The 17892-nt window shown below is 40.2% G+C and overlaps 1 protein-coding gene and 1 long non-coding RNA gene across 9 annotated transcripts in view; one reads left to right on the plus strand and one right to left on the minus strand.

Annotated features, from left to right (window-relative positions):
- The window catches only part of FER1L6 (fer-1 like family member 6), a 268075-nt gene extending 253355 nt beyond the window's left edge, over positions 1-14720 (plus strand). For all 8 annotated transcript variants that reach the window (NM_001039112.2, XM_011517231.3, XM_006716618.4 and 5 more), the window contains 2 exons: positions 13503-13603; positions 14266-14720. In NM_001039112.2, the coding sequence (NP_001034201.2) occupies positions 13503-13603; positions 14266-14449 (285 nt within the window). In that variant the 3' untranslated portion in view covers positions 14450-14720. The remainder of the gene's footprint in view (positions 1-13502; positions 13604-14265) is intronic.
- FER1L6-AS2 (FER1L6 antisense RNA 2) overlaps positions 1-17892 on the minus strand; it is a 125452-nt gene that overhangs the window by 59271 nt on the left and 48289 nt on the right. The window lies entirely within an intron of this gene.

Below are 17892 nucleotides of genomic sequence, written 5' to 3' on the forward strand. Positions count from 1 at the left end.
AGCCTGATCACACAGGCCTCGAGACTATGGTGAAAAGCTTGGACTTCATTCTCAAAGGAAAGCCATTGCATGGTTTCCAGCAGGGAGGGGATCTGCCTCACCTAGGAAACACATCCCCTTAATGCTGTGTAGACAATGGTCAGAAGAGGGTCAAAATTGGAGAGAGAGGACTAGGCAGAGATGTAAGAAAAAAGAGTAAAAATGTGCTGAAATAGGAACTCAGAGAGGAGGCTCTTTGGAGAAGGGCACTTGGTTACTGTGTCAAGTGCTCCTGAGAGTTTAAAGAAGAAGCCACAAAGATGTGCCCATTGGACTTAACGGCATGGAGGTTCCCGGTGACCTTTTAAAAAGCAGCATTGTGAATGTCCATAGCAGCATTATTCATAATAGCCCCAAAGCAGAAACACTCAAATGTCCATCAGCTGATGAGTCCATTTTTAAAATGTAGTATATCCATACAGTGGAATATTATTCAGTCATGAAAAGGAATGAAATACTGATACGTGCAACAACATGGATGAACCTTGCAAATGTTATGCTAAGTGAAAGAAGCCTGTCTTGAAAGACCACATACTGGTCTGATTTCATTTATGTGAAATGCTCAGAATAGGCAAATCCATAGAAAATAGATGAGTAGTTGCCAGGGACTGGGGTAGGGTAGAAGGGGAATGGGGAGCAACTGGTATGGAGTTTCTTTTTGGGGTGATTAAAAAAGAAGTTCTGAAATCAAATAGTGGCGATGCCAGTACAATTTTGTGAACAGATTAAAATCTATGTAATTGTATAATTTAAAAGAGTGAACTTGGTGAAACCCCGTCTCTACTAAAAATACAAAAAATTAGCTGGGCGTGGTGGCGGGTGCCTGTAGTCCCAGCTACTCAGGATGCTGAGGCAGAAGAATGGTGTGAACCCAGGAGGCGGAGCTTGCAGTGAGCCGAGATCGTGCCACTGCACTCCAGCCTGGGCGACAGAGTGAGACTCTGTCTCAAAAAAAAAAAAAAAAAAAAAAAAAAAAAAAAACAGAGTGGACGTTATGATATATGAATTATATCTCAATTGTTTAAAAGCAATGTTAGTGGAATGGCAAAGACAGAAGTAGATGAATGTGGATTGTTGAGTGAATGAGAAGCAGGTTAGTGTAGATTCTCTAGAAACCTCCACAGTTTCATCTCTCACTGCTCCCCTCTCAACCATCCTGAACCCTTCCCGGACTCTTGCTTGTCTGGTCTGTGGACTGGTCCTTCTGCCTGGATTGCCTTAGCCCCTTTCTCTGAGAAAACTCCTAGTCCTTAAATATTTGGAGATTATTTTTAGCAGTTGCCCCTCTGAGAAGCCTTCCTGGGTATCCTCAGCCTGGGTGGGCTTACCTTCTACTTCCCTACATGTATCTCTTGACACACTGATTTGAACTTGTCCATGGACTTCATGGTTCTTCTACTGTCAGCAATTTGAGTCCAAAAAGTATGTTTTTGCTTTCTGTTCCCTTTCCTAATTTTCAGTGTCTAATGTGGTACGTAGCACATAATACTCAAATATTTATTGAATGAATCAATTAATTCAAGAATAATTAATTGACCCTAGTATAAGAGATTATAAGGTTTTCTTTTTTTTTTTTTTTTTTTTTTGAGACAGAGTCTCGCTCTGTCGCCCAGGCTGGAGTGCAGTGGTGCAATCTCTGCTCACTGCAAGCTCCACCTCCCGGGTTCACGCCATTCTCCTGTCTCAGCCTCCCTAGTAGCTGGGACTACAGGCGCCCGCCACCAAGCCCAGCTAATTTTTTGTATTTTTAGTAGAGATGGGGTTTCACCATGTTAGCCAGGATGGTCTCGATCTCCTGACCTTGTGATCCGCCCGCCTCAGCCTCTCAAAGTGCTGGGATTACAGGCATGAGCCACCGCGCCCGGCCAAGAGATTATAAGGTTTCCTTCTGTTTACTCAGTGTACTGAGCACATAAGTGCTCAGTAAATGTTCTTTAAAAATGAACACATTAGTACACATTGATTTATATGATTATCTAAGTGTCAGCTTACAAGCCAGAGAGGAATAAAGAAATGACAGAAGACAGGTAGATTTTAATGGCAAGGGGATCAAAAGATTTAGATAGATTACACAGTGGCGAATGGATGAACATTTGGGCTGTGGCAGTCTGTTTTCCTAGACTGTGTTAAGATCCGTAGAAGCATTTGAGCTTATGATCTGAGCCCCACCTGCTAGGTACCAGAGTAGTGGCAATTTCCATGATTTTTTACCTTCTCTCCATGCTGTCCTTGCCTTGCCAGAGCCTAGGTATGTCAGGTTATTATAGTGATTTAAATTCATTTGTTGAATAGTTTTGTAATGACTGGGCCTTAAGTGAGACATTTATGTGGGAAATTTACTGTCTGGTTTGATTGACTCAATGCAGAGTTTTTCTGCTTTTGTGCTTCGGAGGGTCCATTTGAAGATCCCTCTTTGTCTTTGGTCTCATGAGGGAAGAACTAACAGAGCCACTAAGGCCAGATCACCTCTTATAGTCCTAGCATAAAAGAGAAGCCTCTTTTATGAGGACATGCACATTTTATAATTTAAGATCCCACAGAGGATTTCCGTGCATCAAAAAATGCATGTCTGTGTTAAAAGTTTTAAAAGCTTTCTGGATTGTCCTAGGGATTGTGATCAGTAATAATGAGAGGGGTGGATTCCACCCTAGAACAGCCCCAGGTCAGCAGATAAGCAATGCATTCAAAGCTAACTGGGGCCAAGCACAGTGGCATGCACCTGTAGTCTCAGCTACTTGGGGTGCCGAGGCACGAGGATCCCTGGAGCCCAGGAGCTCAAGTCTACCCTGGGCAACACAGTGAGACCTTGTTTATAATAACAACAAATACTGACTCCTGGATTCCATCCTTTAATAAGAAAAACCATCTTGGGTTCAAAGTCTGGCTCTATTATTTACCAGCTGTCTGAACTTTACTATGAGCCTCAGCTTTCTTAGCTGTAAAGATTGAGAAAATTAAAGTATGTACACCTCATGAGCTGTCGTAACCCTGAAATGAGATAGTATGTTCCAGGCACACAGATTCTAAGTGTTCAATAAATGTCAGATTTTCGCTTGAGCCATTACTCAGCAATAAACTGTTTTGACCATTCCCTGTTCCCATCTCCTTCTGGGCCCCAGGATGAGGGAAACGCCTCAAACTCAAAATACCTAAATATCTTAGTCAATTTTAACATCTAATCCTTAGGGGTTACACTTTTGGTAAATGTAAGAAAAAAGATGGGGCTGGGTGTGGTGGCTCATACCTGTAATCCCAGCACTTTGGAGTAGACGGACATCTTGAGCCCCAGAATTTGAGACCAGCCTGGGCAACACAATGAGACCCCGTCTCTACAAAAAATTTTTAAAATTTGCCAGGCATGGTGGTACCTACGTGTAGTCCTAGCTACTCAGGAGGCTGAGGAAATAGGATCCCTTGAGCCCAGGAGTTCAAGGTTGCAGTGAGCTATGATCACGCCTTTGCATTCCAGCCTGGGCAACATAGGGAGTCCCTGTCTCTATAGAAAAAAGGAAAGAAAAGAAAAAGGGAGGGAGGGGGGAAGAATAGAACCTCTAGCAACATACTCTTAACTACTTTATAAATGATTCTCCTGAAGAATTGGCCATGATGATGAATTTTCACAGGAGATTGTTTTAAAGATTTGAAATGGCTACGTTGTCTGGGGGTTTGTTGTCTCATGCTGAGAAAAAATTCAGGATATGGACACGTGTGGATGGGTTAAGGAGTAGAAAGTTTAATAGAAGAAAGGAGAGGAGCTCCTTGAGAGAGAGATACACGTCCAATAAAGTGGTGAGGCTGCGGACTGCAGCAGATTTTACAGGCAGGCTGGAGAAGGCGGTGTCTGATTTACAGAGGGCTCACAGATTGGTTCAATCAGGTATGACGTTTACATAGGGCCCAGGAAAGGCTGGTTGCTCCACCCTAATCTTATTATTCAAATAGGCTTTCCAGTTGATTGGCACCATCTTATCAGTTCTTTACTGTACACGTGGCTGACAGAAGGGAAGATGGAGCCGCCTTCTTGAACATGTCTAGTCCCTAGTCCCTGCCAGCATTCACCCGTGCAAACTCCCAGCTTGCTTATGTCTGCAGTTCGACTTTACAGGCTGCTCTTTGTTAGAAAATGATTTGGGGCTGCTTTTCGTTAAAGAGAAAGGCCTTACCGAGGACTCCCATACCCTTACTAGCTGTCTAAGTGATTTCTTCTTAACTCCTGTATCACTTTCTGTAGTAAGGATAGGAGCTTCTAATTAAATGCTCTTCATTTCTATCAACATAGTTTTTTCCTGAGTCTAGATGATCATGTTGCTCCTTCAGCAGTTCATTTTTCAACAGTTACAGAAAGCCTCCCCTGGGCAGGGCTTTGGTAGGATATCCTGAATACAGAGATGAATAGGATGCAACTCTTGCCCCCAAGAAGCTGCTATCTTGAGGGGAAGACAGACAAGAGAAGCAACCGGCAACTGCTCTGACTGTGGTAGTAACAAGCGTTGCTAATATGAACTGACTACCAGAACCAGTTCTGAAAGACTGAACATACAAACAGCAGTGGTCAGACCACACGTGACAATAAAGCTACAACCTCTGCAGCAACCAGCCCCAAACCATCAGAGCTTGGGCAATGACTGCAGGCTTCCCTAATATATGTTCCCCTAACTAATCACATATGACGGCCCCCTACTTAGCCTGCTTCCAGTTTCCCCACACGAGCACCTTTCAGTCAGAACACATCCAATGACTTCCCTTTTCTTGTATCTTCCTCTCTACCTAAGTGATGGTAGCTCTAAATAAATAGCCTCTGTTTGTTCTTATCTTGGTGATCTTTGTTCATTTCCACAGCACTAAACACTGAATGTATACTAATTCATTTATCTGCTAAAACCCCCTGAAAAAATATATAATCAATCCCAATTTTATAGAGAAGGAAGCTGAGGCACAGCAAGCTTAAGTAACTTGCCTCATAGCACACAGCTAGTCAGGAAGGATGAGATTCAAACACAAGCAGTTCACTTCTACACTCTTGAGTCCTAACCACTGTGCCATACTTCATTTTCTGTCAAAGAGCCATAGAAACAGAAGGGACATCCAAACTGTCCTGGGGTTACCAGCCATCTTCACCACAGAGGTGAAGTCTGAGGTGATATTTCTGGGGGAAATACAATTTAAAACAAAGTCTCCCAACTCAAAAGCTAGTAAAGTTTTATCATTGAGTAGTCACTAAAAGCAACCCGTTAAGAGATTGCAAAGACAGAAATTTCCTCCTTTTATATAGCTGAGCAGCAATCACCCATTACATACATATTTTCAGGAGAAAATATAACTAGTTCTCAGGAGGAATTCACAGCACCATTTGTCACACATTGTTCTAGATTCACATGGTCATCGAGATGACCATTTATGTTACTTGATTAGTTTTATCCAAAGGAAAAGCAAACTTCTCAAATCTTTATGCCACCTGCCAGAGATTTTTTAAACATATTTATTTTTAAAGCTGTTATCAGTGCCCCCCCTCCCCTCCAGCAGTGTCGTTTAATCAGTCTTCTCAAATCTTTATGACAGGAGGTAGTTGTGCAACTTGGAGCAAAGTGCTCACCAAAGTTAGCCTCCTACCCTCCCACAGAAACTGGGGTATAGGGTGCTATTCTCTCGATGTTTACATTTGAAGGAGATGGTTCTCAGATCCTTGAAAAAAACATTCCTGGGTGTTAAAGACAAAAGGCCTGTCAGCTTTCAAAACAATTTATATACGTTACAGAGAGAAGAGAAAGTACTTACAACTTTTCTAAAGTAAATGCTCTAAGAGAAAAGAAAAGGGGGAAGGAAATCTCTTCCCATTTTCAACAGGGAGAACTAAGCCTCTCATTTTTAATTTTTATTTGTTGCCCTTACACCTCCTAAAGGGAAAATAAGAATTGACTTCATCTTCATGCATACCAGTGGCCCATGGTCAGAGCCTTGGCTGAGCAGCGTGGAACCTGGTCCTGAAAGCCCTGCTTTGGCCTGCAGAAGGGATGTATTCCAGCTACCCTTGTCCTCTTGTTATAGGAAAGGGGTCCCAGCCCAGACCCCAAGAGAGGGCTCTTGCATCTTGGGCAAGAAGGAATTCAGGGCAAGTCTGTAAAGAGAAAGCAAGTTTATTAAGAAAGTAAAGGAATAAAAGAATGGCTACTCCATAGACCGAGCAGCCCCAAGGGCTGCTAGTTGCTCATTTTTATGGTTATTTCTTGATGATATGCTAAACAGGGGTGGATTCATGCCTTCTCTTTTTAGACCATATAGGGTAACTTCCTGACATTACCGTGGCATTTGTAAACTATCATGGCACTCGCCGGTGGGAGTGTAGCAGTGAGGATGACCAGAGGTCACTCTTGTTCTCTGGTCGGTGGGTTTTGGCCGGCTTCTTTACTGCAACCTGTTTTATCAGGAAGGTCTTTATGACCTGTATCTTGTGCTGACCTCCAATCTCATACTGTGACTTAGAATGCCTTAACCGTCGGGAATGCAGCCCAGTAGGTCTCAGCTCCATTGTACCCAGCTCCTATTCAAGATGGAGTTGCTCTGGTTCAAATGCCTCTGACACTCTTTCCCCCTTAAGTAACCAATAACCATATTAAGAAAATAACTTTCTCCTAATAGGGTAGCAAGTTAGGTGGTCCAGAGTAAATGGTGTAATGGAAAACTCCTGCCATACCTGGGGGCACTTCTGTTTCCATGTGTATAAAATCACTAGGTTAGACTGGGTGCCTCCAACATGCATGTCCAGCCTAGACATTCTCTAATTCCAACTCCGTGTGCACTCTCCTCCCGTTCTTTGAAGCCAGCATTCAAACATGGCTGTCTGGTTTTAGTTGCTGGCAGGCGAGAGAGGGTTTGTTTATGGCCACTGCCACCTGCCAGATTTATTTTTAAAGCTGCTTATCAGTGTCCCCCCAGCAGTATCATTTAGACATTTAGATCACACAGCTTCTAGTGTGGAATGTGGAATGTGGCTTTCCTCACAGTAAATGAAAAACAGCTCCACGGGATTGCTGAGGAATGGGGACCCTTGGGAGAAAGAAAGGGAATATCTACGACCATGTTCTTCGTGAAGCACATTGCACTATGCAATTTATATGCCTTATCCCAAGTCATCCTACTCAAAGCAACCTTTAAGAAATCACTCTTTTAAGAGACAAAGATTAAAACATTTATTTTACAAGTTAATCCCACAAATGGACAGGCAGCCAAGGTAAATTCTATCCCTGGTACATCAACAACCAAAACTCTAAGGGAGGTTTCTATGCTTCCAGTTTGATGTGAAAAACAGCTGTCAGCATCTATTATGGCTACATACTTATATGTTATGTTCTAAAGTTTCAACAGTGAATAAGATAAATTCTTAGCATCCTGAAGTTCACAACTTAGCTGGGGATGGTGGTAGATAGATCATTTAAATAGTATTTAGCAAGATCAGACAAGAGCAGACAAGGGAGATATTTTTATATAAAGATTTTTAAGATAGGGTGTATAATGTGAATGTATAGGAAATTTGAAAAGCACAAAAAGGTAGAAAAAATAGCACACATATGTATACCATCTAAAGAAAACTTGCTAATGGTTTGGTTATTCCTAATATTTTCTCTATGCATAAATTTTAGTTCCCTTTACATAATAGTAATCATTCCATACTTAAAATAGTGCCTCTTCATTTTGTTCCACTCAGTTTTCTAATGAGCATTCCCCTACATTATACTAGCAATATTATTAACTCTTTATATTCTCAAAATAAAAATGCCAGTTTAATTATTGTGTTTGTCCTCAACATTTATTCATTTAAAAAATTTGAGCACACAGAAAAGTTGAAATGGAACAATGATCAGCCATAGATCCACCACCAAGATTCAACACTTGCTAATATTTTGCCATATTTATTTTGTCAATATATTTGGGTATACTCCATTGATATATGAAGTATATTTGAGTATTTGTATGTATATATGCCTATTTTTTGACTGAACAATTTAAGCTGTAGACATTCTGTCACTCTACCCCTAAATACCTCAGCATGCATCTCTCAGGAATATAGACAGTGTCCTACATAACCACAATGCTGTCACCACATATAAGTAAATAATGATTCCCTAATATAATCTGATATCCACACCATATTCATGTCTCCATCTAGAAAAAGAATGCCCTATTGCCCCCAAAATGTCTTATATAGCTGTTTCCTTTTCAAAACAAGACTCAATCATGGTTTATGTACTGCTTTGCATTATTATATCTCTTTGGTCTATGTTAAAACAATCTTCTGACATTTTCCCCTCATGTTGACTATTTGATGAGACTAGGCTTGCTTTATCTGGTTGTTTTCTCATCATATTGCTTATCTTATTCTCTATCCTCTGTATTTCCCGTGAAGTGTAAGTTAGATACAACAGCATTTATCAAGTTGTTTAATATGTGATACTGTTTACTCCATAGCGGATCATGCCAGGAGGCACATGCTATCAGATGGCTCACTATTAGTGATGCTGTGTTTGCTCACTTGACTATGTTGGTAAATACAAGATTTCTTCACTGTAAAGGCACATTTTCCCCTCTGCCGTTAGCAAAGGGTAACGTGGTGGTGTGGGGAATTCCTGTTCTGCTCTACCCAAAGGCTTTAATAACTACTGGCAATCTTAATTATTTCATTGGTTTTATAAAAATTTTTCTAACCCTTCCTTACATCTGTCTGTCTAAGCTATTGATCGATCTATTTACCTATCTACTATCATTTTTTCTCCATTTATTGGTTGGCATTTATCTGTTAAAAAGAGCTTTCCCTCATCAGTTGGAAATAAATCAGTCACCCTCCTCCCCCACCCCCCAAAAAGATAGGACAAATACATAATTATATCACTTAATAACCAAATTTTAGAATTCAGAGTTGGTATAAGAGTCATCTCTAATGATTTTTCCCTTGCTTTTTTTGTTGTTATTGTTATCACTATAGATTCATGGATTTTTAACAAATATGTTGTAAGCTCCATCCACTGAAGAATCTAGAAGTAAAATCACCCAGTAGCAAAGAAGACTCCTAGCACGTAGATCCTGGTTTCTATACATCAGCTCCTACTAAAAACCAACCAACCAAAGAAACAAAAATCAGGGATTTTTGGGGAAATGGCTGACTCCAGGTCTAGGGCAGATAAAATCCAAAATGAGTCTGGGATATCTCAGTGGGGCAAATAGGACAATTTGAACATCCAAAAGAAAAATGACTATGCTTTGTACATAAGACTTTTTCTGAGTTTTGAATTATTTCCTTAACTTAGCTATCCAGAAATGGAATTCCTACATTCAGCATATAAGATTATATATGACATACAATACACACATGTAGTTGTATGCATGTATATATTTGTATATAACTACATGTGTATTTTTGTGGTCATACATGATCTTATATATGTATGTACATGCATGTATGTGGATGTAACTATATATACACTTAAATACATGTATACATATATATGCAGTGTGTGTGTGCGTATATATATATATATATATATATATATATATATATATATTCCTTTTCCTAAAAGATTTTGTCAGCATACTTTCCTCCATTAGCATATGAGAATGCCTCATGTAATTCCAGTCAGGGGTGTGTTTTAATAAGGAATAATCATTGCTGAAGGCATGTCCATTCCAAATGCAATCACTTCTCAGCCTCTGAAGGCATCCCTTCTGTAGGCATGGTGCAGTTTGGCACATTATATATGTGGTATGACAAATCCAGTCTTCTCAAGGAGCTTTTTTTATTGTCTCCCATCCACGGATATCATTAGGCTACTAGATAGTCTCTTGAACTGTCTATTTTTATTAGCTCTGATTTTAAATTACATTTAGAGGATATTATTAGCTTATGACCTCTCCTTGGTGCTGAGCTGAATGCTGATGGTTGAAACAGGACAGGAAACCTCTGTGAAGAACGATACCCAGAGCAGCGGCATTTATCGAAGCTGTCAGTAAACACCTTTCCCCTGCAGCCTTCCCAATGCCCGATAGATGCATTGCGACCGTTCTAGCAGGGTGGTGGAGCTGGCGCAAGGCTCTTCATGATGATAACAAATGACACCTATCTCTAGGACAGAAGTAATTTAATATTCTCTGCCTCCTTTTTCTTTGCATTGATTTTCCTATAGGAATCTGGGCCTGTGGGACTTTTCTGGTACTTTCTCTATGGGCAGAAGATGTTTTCTGTTAAACTGCATGTTTCTATTGATGAAACAGTGTTGAAGTTAACAACTACCATAGTTAAAGGCTTTCCTTTAACAGGCCCTAGGCTAAGCACTGCATATGTGTTATTTCATTTATTTTTCAAAGCAACCGTATAGGGTACATGCTGTTAATAGCCTCAGTACAGTGAGACTTAAAGAGAGCAGGTGACTTACCCAAGATCACACAGCTAGTAAATTGTAGAGCCTGGCTTCAAATGCAGATCTGTCTATTCACAAGTCCTATTCACTTGACTATTTGCTATATGTGTTGTGCTATGCTATGCCATGCCATGCTATGCTATAATATTAAGCTATCCAAAGCCAACCCACAGATAGAGATCAAAAGCATATACTAATGCCAGAGCAATGACAGCAATTACAGGGTTCCTCTTGAATATTTCAGAAACAGCACATTTATTCATTATTAAATAAGTAGCCTACTTTTTTTCTTCCAGAACAAGTTGTCACTTAGACATGTAAAGTAGCAGAGGAATGGAGTTTGGCATCAAAGGACCTTGGTGCAAATCCTGGTTTTGTAACATCAGTTAGCAAATATCACCAAGCCTTGGTTTCCTTGGCTGTAAAATGGTAATAAAAACGCCATCTACTTTGTCAGCTAGCCAAAAAGGGCATGCATGAAACACCATGCAAGTTATAAAGTGCCATAGCCAAAAAGGGCATGCATGAAACACCATGCAAGTTATAAAGTGCGATAGCCAAAAAGGGTATGCATGAAACACCATGCAAGTTATAAAGTGCGATAGCCAAAAAGGGCATGCATGAAACACCATGCAAGTTATAAAGTGCCATAGCCAAAAAGGGCATGCATGAAACACCATGCAAGTTATAAAGTGCCATAGCCAAAAAGGGCGTGCATGAAACACCATGCAAGTTATAAAGTGCTATAGCCAAAAAGGGCATGCATGAAACACCATGCAAGTTATAAAGTGCCAGAGCTGAGTTTATTAAGAGTAGAGAACAAAGGGGCAGCTGCAATCCTCTTACTGTGGCCCTAACTTATTCTCTGTTGATTTCTATTCTCTCTTCCAAGCATTCTGGATCCTAGCAATCGGTTAGCTCCTCTTAAGCTGACTCTACTTCAAATTAGAAGAACTGGATGAAGTTCTTAGTGTATAACATACTGCTCAGCAGAGCTTAAGTTACCTGTGAATGATCTCTGGAAATAAGACTGTTTTGTACATTGGAGACCATTTTTCCATGAGTTTTGGACTTATTTCTTGAGTCTCTCCCAGCCATCAAGTCCTTAACTCTGCCTTTCATCAATGCCAGAAGTTAGAGCCAGATAGCCCTAGAAAACATCTGGCCATTTGACAGATGAGAAAACTGAGACTCAAGAAGACGAATACCATTGGATGGTGATTATGAAGACAATTATGGAATCATCTCATGTTAGAGCTAGGCAGGCTCTTAAAAACCTTCTAGTCCAATTTTCTGGCAATTAGATGAATAAGTTGGGAGGCAGCCTGCTATAATGGAAAGAGTATGAGCTTTGGTATCATACAGACCTGGGTTCAAATTCCAGTTGGTTGGCTTGTTGCCTGTGTGACCTTGGAAAAGTTACTTGATCTCTGTGATTTCATTTCTTCATCTACATAAGGGAGACCTACCTTGCTTATTGCTATGATTGATAGACTAATAGAATAAACAAACCTGGGACAAAGTGAGTGATCCGTAAAGCATTGCAATTACAGTTAGATATATTATTATCACTCCACTATTGATGGATGTGTAAAGGAAGAATTAAAATCAATAGAAGCTTTATATTTTTTCCCACAGTTTTCAAATATTTTCTGAATGCCTATATGTGCAAGTCATTGCCTATGGGGCTAAGATTTCTCAATGGGAATGAAAGACTACATATATACATGTTTTCATGAAACATTTCTAGGTCATAGGACATTTAATGCTACTCTGAGTTGGGCCAGAGTTCCAGTTCAAAGGATGAATGAGACCATCTAGACTTTAACTCATGATTTTACCTGTAATAAAAGTCCACTGCACTTCTTTACTAATTCAGACAGCCCTGCCACTCCCTCTCTATCCCTCAACCTTACCCCATGTATTCTATATATTTCTTATATCTCCCATGATTATATTATAATGGCTGCCAGCAACCAAACCTACTTGTGAATGAGTCCTGATCTTTTTAGGGTGAATGGGTAAGTTAACACAAGACCACTGCCTCAGCAGAATCTCAGATTTTTGTATTGGGGTAAGAAATCAATCATACCTCCGAAGTCAAGTAATGCCCAGTCCATGTGTGATTCAGAGGAAGAAGCTTTATCAGCAATCGTGTGTAATAAAATGCTTCACTCCTACCAGCTCTGCCTCCCTCCTATCACCTTGAATTTCAATGCATAAAACCAAGAGGCAGGAGAAATGAGCGTCTCTGTCACCAAGAATAGGAGCTCCAGGAGATCAGAAATTCTGTTTTTCTTAATCAATCATTGTTAAGGCTCTAGTGCCTAGAACAGTGTGTGGCATACAAAGGATCCCCAAAAGTGCCGAATGAAGGCGTGAACAAGAGAAAATGGCTCTTAACTTTTGCGGGGGTCCTATCTCACCCTTTGATAAATCAAGACATACATCCCTGACAGAAACTATGGCATAGTGCTCTAAAGAAACACATTACTCACAATTTTCAAATAAAATAGGCCATCTCTTATTGAGGGAACAGGAAGAGGGAGGGAGTGCTATAATAAAAGGATAACCCTACAATAACTAGTGGGGACAACCAAAAGAATGAAGAGTGACAGAAAAAAAGCCATTCAGCAAATGTGGGGCCACTGTCACCAGTTTCCTCTTGAGAACTGACAGAGAAGACAGACTGTATCGGATTCAAAAGGGTCTGCCACCCAAGTAATCAGTCCCCTTTCTAATTACTGTAATATTTTTTCAGATGTCAAGTGTTTACAAGAAGAGTAGTACATGTGACGGAGCTTGTGTGTCTGTGTGGACACATGGGACCCTTTCCTTCCACAAATCTTGAAATAACATCATTCCTAGGCTTTTACTGTTCATCATAAAAATGGCTTCTCCCAGGACCAAAAAAAGCAACAACATTTATCAAAATAAAGCAGCGGGATAATCAAAATACTTTCTGGAATTCTCCAACTTGGTAACACTTCTAGAAGGTTGCCATTGGCTCAGTGGGTCTTTGTGACTGGAAACAAAAGGTTTTGCATCTTTTTGCAGGGCAAGGTTGAAGCTGAGTTCCACCTAGTTACAGCAGAAGAAGCTGAGAAAAATCCTGTTGGAAAAGCCCGAAAGGAGCCAGAGCCCCTGGCCAAGCCCAAGTGAGTGGAGTTGCTAGTGGGAACATCAGAAATGGGAAGGGGCCTTTGCAGTCCTTGCTGGTGTCTGATAATGGCATTTCTTTAGAGCAGCCCTGTGGGAGAACTGGGAAGCCAGGAGGCAGTCAATTGGTGCTTTCCAACCTGTGTAGCTTTTCGAAGAAAAAGCTAAATATAAGACATATAAGACATAAAGTATGCCTTCCAGGAGCTTTCGATCTATTTGGGGAAAATAACACATTCATAAAATAGTTGTCAGAGCGTAGAAGACTCCGTAGTTTCAAAAGGGGGTGAGTCAAGCGATGAATGAGTTAGGAACTTGAAGTGAAGGGAATCATTGGGGCCTGAGGCTGTCAGGAAAGACTTCATAGAAAAGGTGGGATTTGAGCTGGCAGGTTGGACAGATGGAGGGTGGTGGGGCCTTGGGCTGGGTTCTAACTGGACTCTCGCTCTCTGCTCCACACCAACCTTTAACCATGATACAGGAATCCTCATCATATAAATGTCAGGCTGCTCCTGCTTCAGGCAACATGCTCTTCTCCCATTTTCAGGGCTCTCCCTATGGGTCCTCAGAAAGTGGGAGTCGGAAACACTTCCTGGGGTCTTAAGCATTCTGAGTGTTGACAGGATGCCCCCTTTTTGATTTTCTCTTCCTTCCCCCTCAGCCGCCCAGACACCTCCTTTTCGTGGTTCATGAGCCCCTTTAAGTGCCTGTACTACCTCATCTGGAAGAATTACAAAAAGTACATCATCATTGCTTTCATTCTCATCATCCTCATCATCTTCCTCGTCCTTTTCATCTACACCTTGCCAGGAGCCATCAGCCGAAGGATCGTTGTGGGCTCATAGAGGATCATGGAGGACCCAGATCCTCGCCATATACTAATCCTCTCTTCCTTATCTGGGAGCATCTAAGAACATGTCCCATGCATGGCACTGTGCTGAGTGCTAAGGGGACAGATCAACCCTTCTTGGAAGAGATGGAAAAGAAACATTTCCTCCCTGCTCCAACCCCTGCCTCCAAGTTTCAAACTTGTAAGGCATGTTTTATCCCTTGGGCAGCATGAAATAAGGCACTTTCACCTCATGGTAATCAACAATGACCTCAAATTGACTTAGATCAATGTTTTCTTTATGTAATTGGTTATATTCTGAGAAGTTTAGTTCTGGGTCAGAGATTTTATTAGAAGTATTTTATCTTAAATAAATTTTTAGGCCAGTTGTGGTGGCTCACGCCTATAATCCCAGCACTTTGGGAGGCTGAGGCAGGTGGATCACTTGAGGCCAGGAGTTCAAGACCAGCCTGGCCAACATAGTGAAACAGCTTCTATACTAAAAATACAAAAATTATCGGGCATGGTGGCACGCACCTGTAATCCCAGCCACTTGGGAGGCAGAGGTTGCAGTGAGCCGAGATTGTGCCACTGCACTCCAGCCTTGGTGACACAGCAAGACTCTATATTGGAAAAATATAAAAATAAAGATAAAATTTTAGAGCAAACAAACTGAAAATATTATAGCAAATTACTAGATATTGAACCTGTCCCATATATCATAACCTTGTGTAATCCTTATAGTTTACAGAACACATTCACTTAGGCTGTGAAACAGGCTTGCAGACAATGTCACATAAATCATCTAAAATACCTTATTGATGAAATTTCCATCTAGAGATGAGATGTTGTGGATTTTCTATTAAAGTCACCACTTGCAGAACATGTTCAATAGTAGTAGTTGGTTCTGGAGAAACCTATTTTGATTTACACTCTGTGGCAATTTCCAGATGGGAACTTTATAATGTGTTGTAAGATATATGAAATATAATTGTGTGGATGGGTCAGGGGCAGCTCCATGCCACCAGTAGGAATTCTCTTTCTTTTGTCAGATATACAAGCTCCACCAAGTATGGTGTTCCCATAGACCATGATACAAATGGCCATCCCTGGCACTATTCAGCACTTAGCCTGACCACCATATGTACCAGGTTTTATCATGAATCTTAAGCACAAATTTTTATTTTATTTCAGACAGTGTCTTACTCTTCACCCAGGCTGGAGTATAGTGGCACAATCTCGGCTCACTGCAATCTCCGCCTCCTGGGTTCAAGCAATTCTCATGCCTCAGCCTCCCGAGTAGCTGGGATTACAGGCACTCGCCACCACACCTGGCTAATATATTTTTTTGTATTTTTAGTAGAGATGGGGTTTCACCAGGTTGGCCAGGCTAGTCTTGAACTCCTGGCCTCAAGTGGTCTGTCCACCTCGGCCTCTCAAAGTGCTAGGATTACAGGCAGGAGCCACCACACCCAGCTGCTTAAGCACAAACTAATTTCAAAACCAGTCTTAGAAATGATATCCTACGCACTTGTCAAACGGGGTCAGTTTTTCTTGAAAGTAAACCTCTGCTCTTCATCACACAATCTAAATCTGCCACCCTACCTAAGGCAGGGACTTAAAATGAGGGGCAGGTTTTCTCAGATAAAATAAGCAAACAGACGAATTGGAATATTTCGTCTCAATTCCCATGTACAATTTTCAGCCTCATATGCAAATCAATATGGCAACCATCTCTTTTTTCTATCAGCAAGAGCCATGTGTTGGTATTAAGAGGCTAGGTTGTAGTTCCCCTCTTGACACCAGAAACACCAGGCCTACTGTTTTGTTTGATAGCCTAGCACAGATGTAACTCTTCTAAAGGGTAACATTTACTACTACACAGAAAGTCATTTTTAGAATGTTCCTAGTCCATCCAAGAAAGGCTAAAAAATGTTCTGTGTGATTCTGGACTTAAGAAGTCTTTTTCACTGAATTCTGGCCCTAGATGCTCACTCAACTAGTAACCATAATGCCCTGTTTTTCCCAAATGCTGAAATGGAACATTTACTGCATTGGCAATGTTTTCTAGTGGGATTGGTTACAGAAACTGTCATTCATTCTTACTGTGCAATATTACACAGCCATAATTAATGATGTAGTTAAAAACATTTGATGGCATATAATATATACATTGAATACATTGTAAGTAAGAAAATATACAGGTTAGAAAACTGTAGGTATAGCATATTGTAAAAAGAAAATATATATACACGCATAGCGAAAAATGTCAGGAAGAATATACCAAAATGTTAACGATTATCTTTAAGTAGTATCATCTTTTTTACTTCTTGTCTTTCTGTTTCTCCTAAAACTTCTAAAATAAAAAGGTATTATTTTTCATGTAAAAGTTTAATAAACTTATGTGTCCATTTAAAAATATTCATCGAGTGTCTCCTATGTTCTGGGCAGTGGGGATACGGCAGAGATAAGACAAACATGTCAGCCTACCTCCATGGATCTTTCACTCCAGTAGCTCCCCAAGATATTTTATCTTCAAATTATGGGTCATCCAAGAAAGGTACCAGATAAGGAATGTATTTCACGGATGAGGTTTAGGAAAAAGTATGAATACACCTCTGGTGATGTTGACAAGGAGAAGAGAATTATTTTAGGATAAATTTGAAAGTAAGGTATTTATTATACTTTCTGCTGGATTGTGGACAGGAAGATGACAGGTAAACTCTTGACAAAATGTGCATTTTTCAAGTTCATAATAAAAAGCTAAAGTTGAAAATCCTTCTTAGTCAAACAGAGCTCATTAACTCTCCTTTGATGTCAAAAGACATCCAAATGCTAAAAGCCTGGAGCAGTATTTGAAACACTTTTGGATCAGATGGCATCTTAAGAAATGTGTGAGAAGAAGTGGAAAGCAATGATAATTTTGGAATCAGCTATGTCTGGTATTCTATACATAGTATATTACATGCCTATCCTGCATGTAAAAATTAAATAAAATAATGTTCTGTGCCTAATTGTGCAGCCCTGGTGCTAAAGATATTAGTGTTTTTTTTTTTAAACCCATTTCCCGAGAAGTTGTCATGAGTTCCTACTTGTGTTCTTAAATAAGATTAATTTAAATTTATTCATTTGACAGCTTAGAGTTTTCTTACAGTTTAAATCTGTTTCAGAAAGGTTTTATTTATGTATTTTACAACATTTGAATCTTTTTCCCCCAAACAAAGCAAAACAAAATTAATACCAGCAATAACAACAACAACAACAAAAACAACAAACAACCCACAGGATGGGATATCCAGTTCTGTAGGTTGAAACATTTGGTACCTCTCTTGCTCTCTCCTTTATAAGACACATACATGGAAATTACAAGATCTACTTAACAGCTGGGGCCATTTGGTGCTTTTTCATTTAACAGATAATTATTGAGTTCCATCCATTCCAGGTGCTGTAATCGGCACT

Source organism: Homo sapiens, chromosome 8, assembly GCF_000001405.40.
Source record: "Homo sapiens chromosome 8, GRCh38.p14 Primary Assembly".
Classification (NCBI taxonomy): domain Eukaryota; kingdom Metazoa; phylum Chordata; class Mammalia; order Primates; family Hominidae; genus Homo; species Homo sapiens.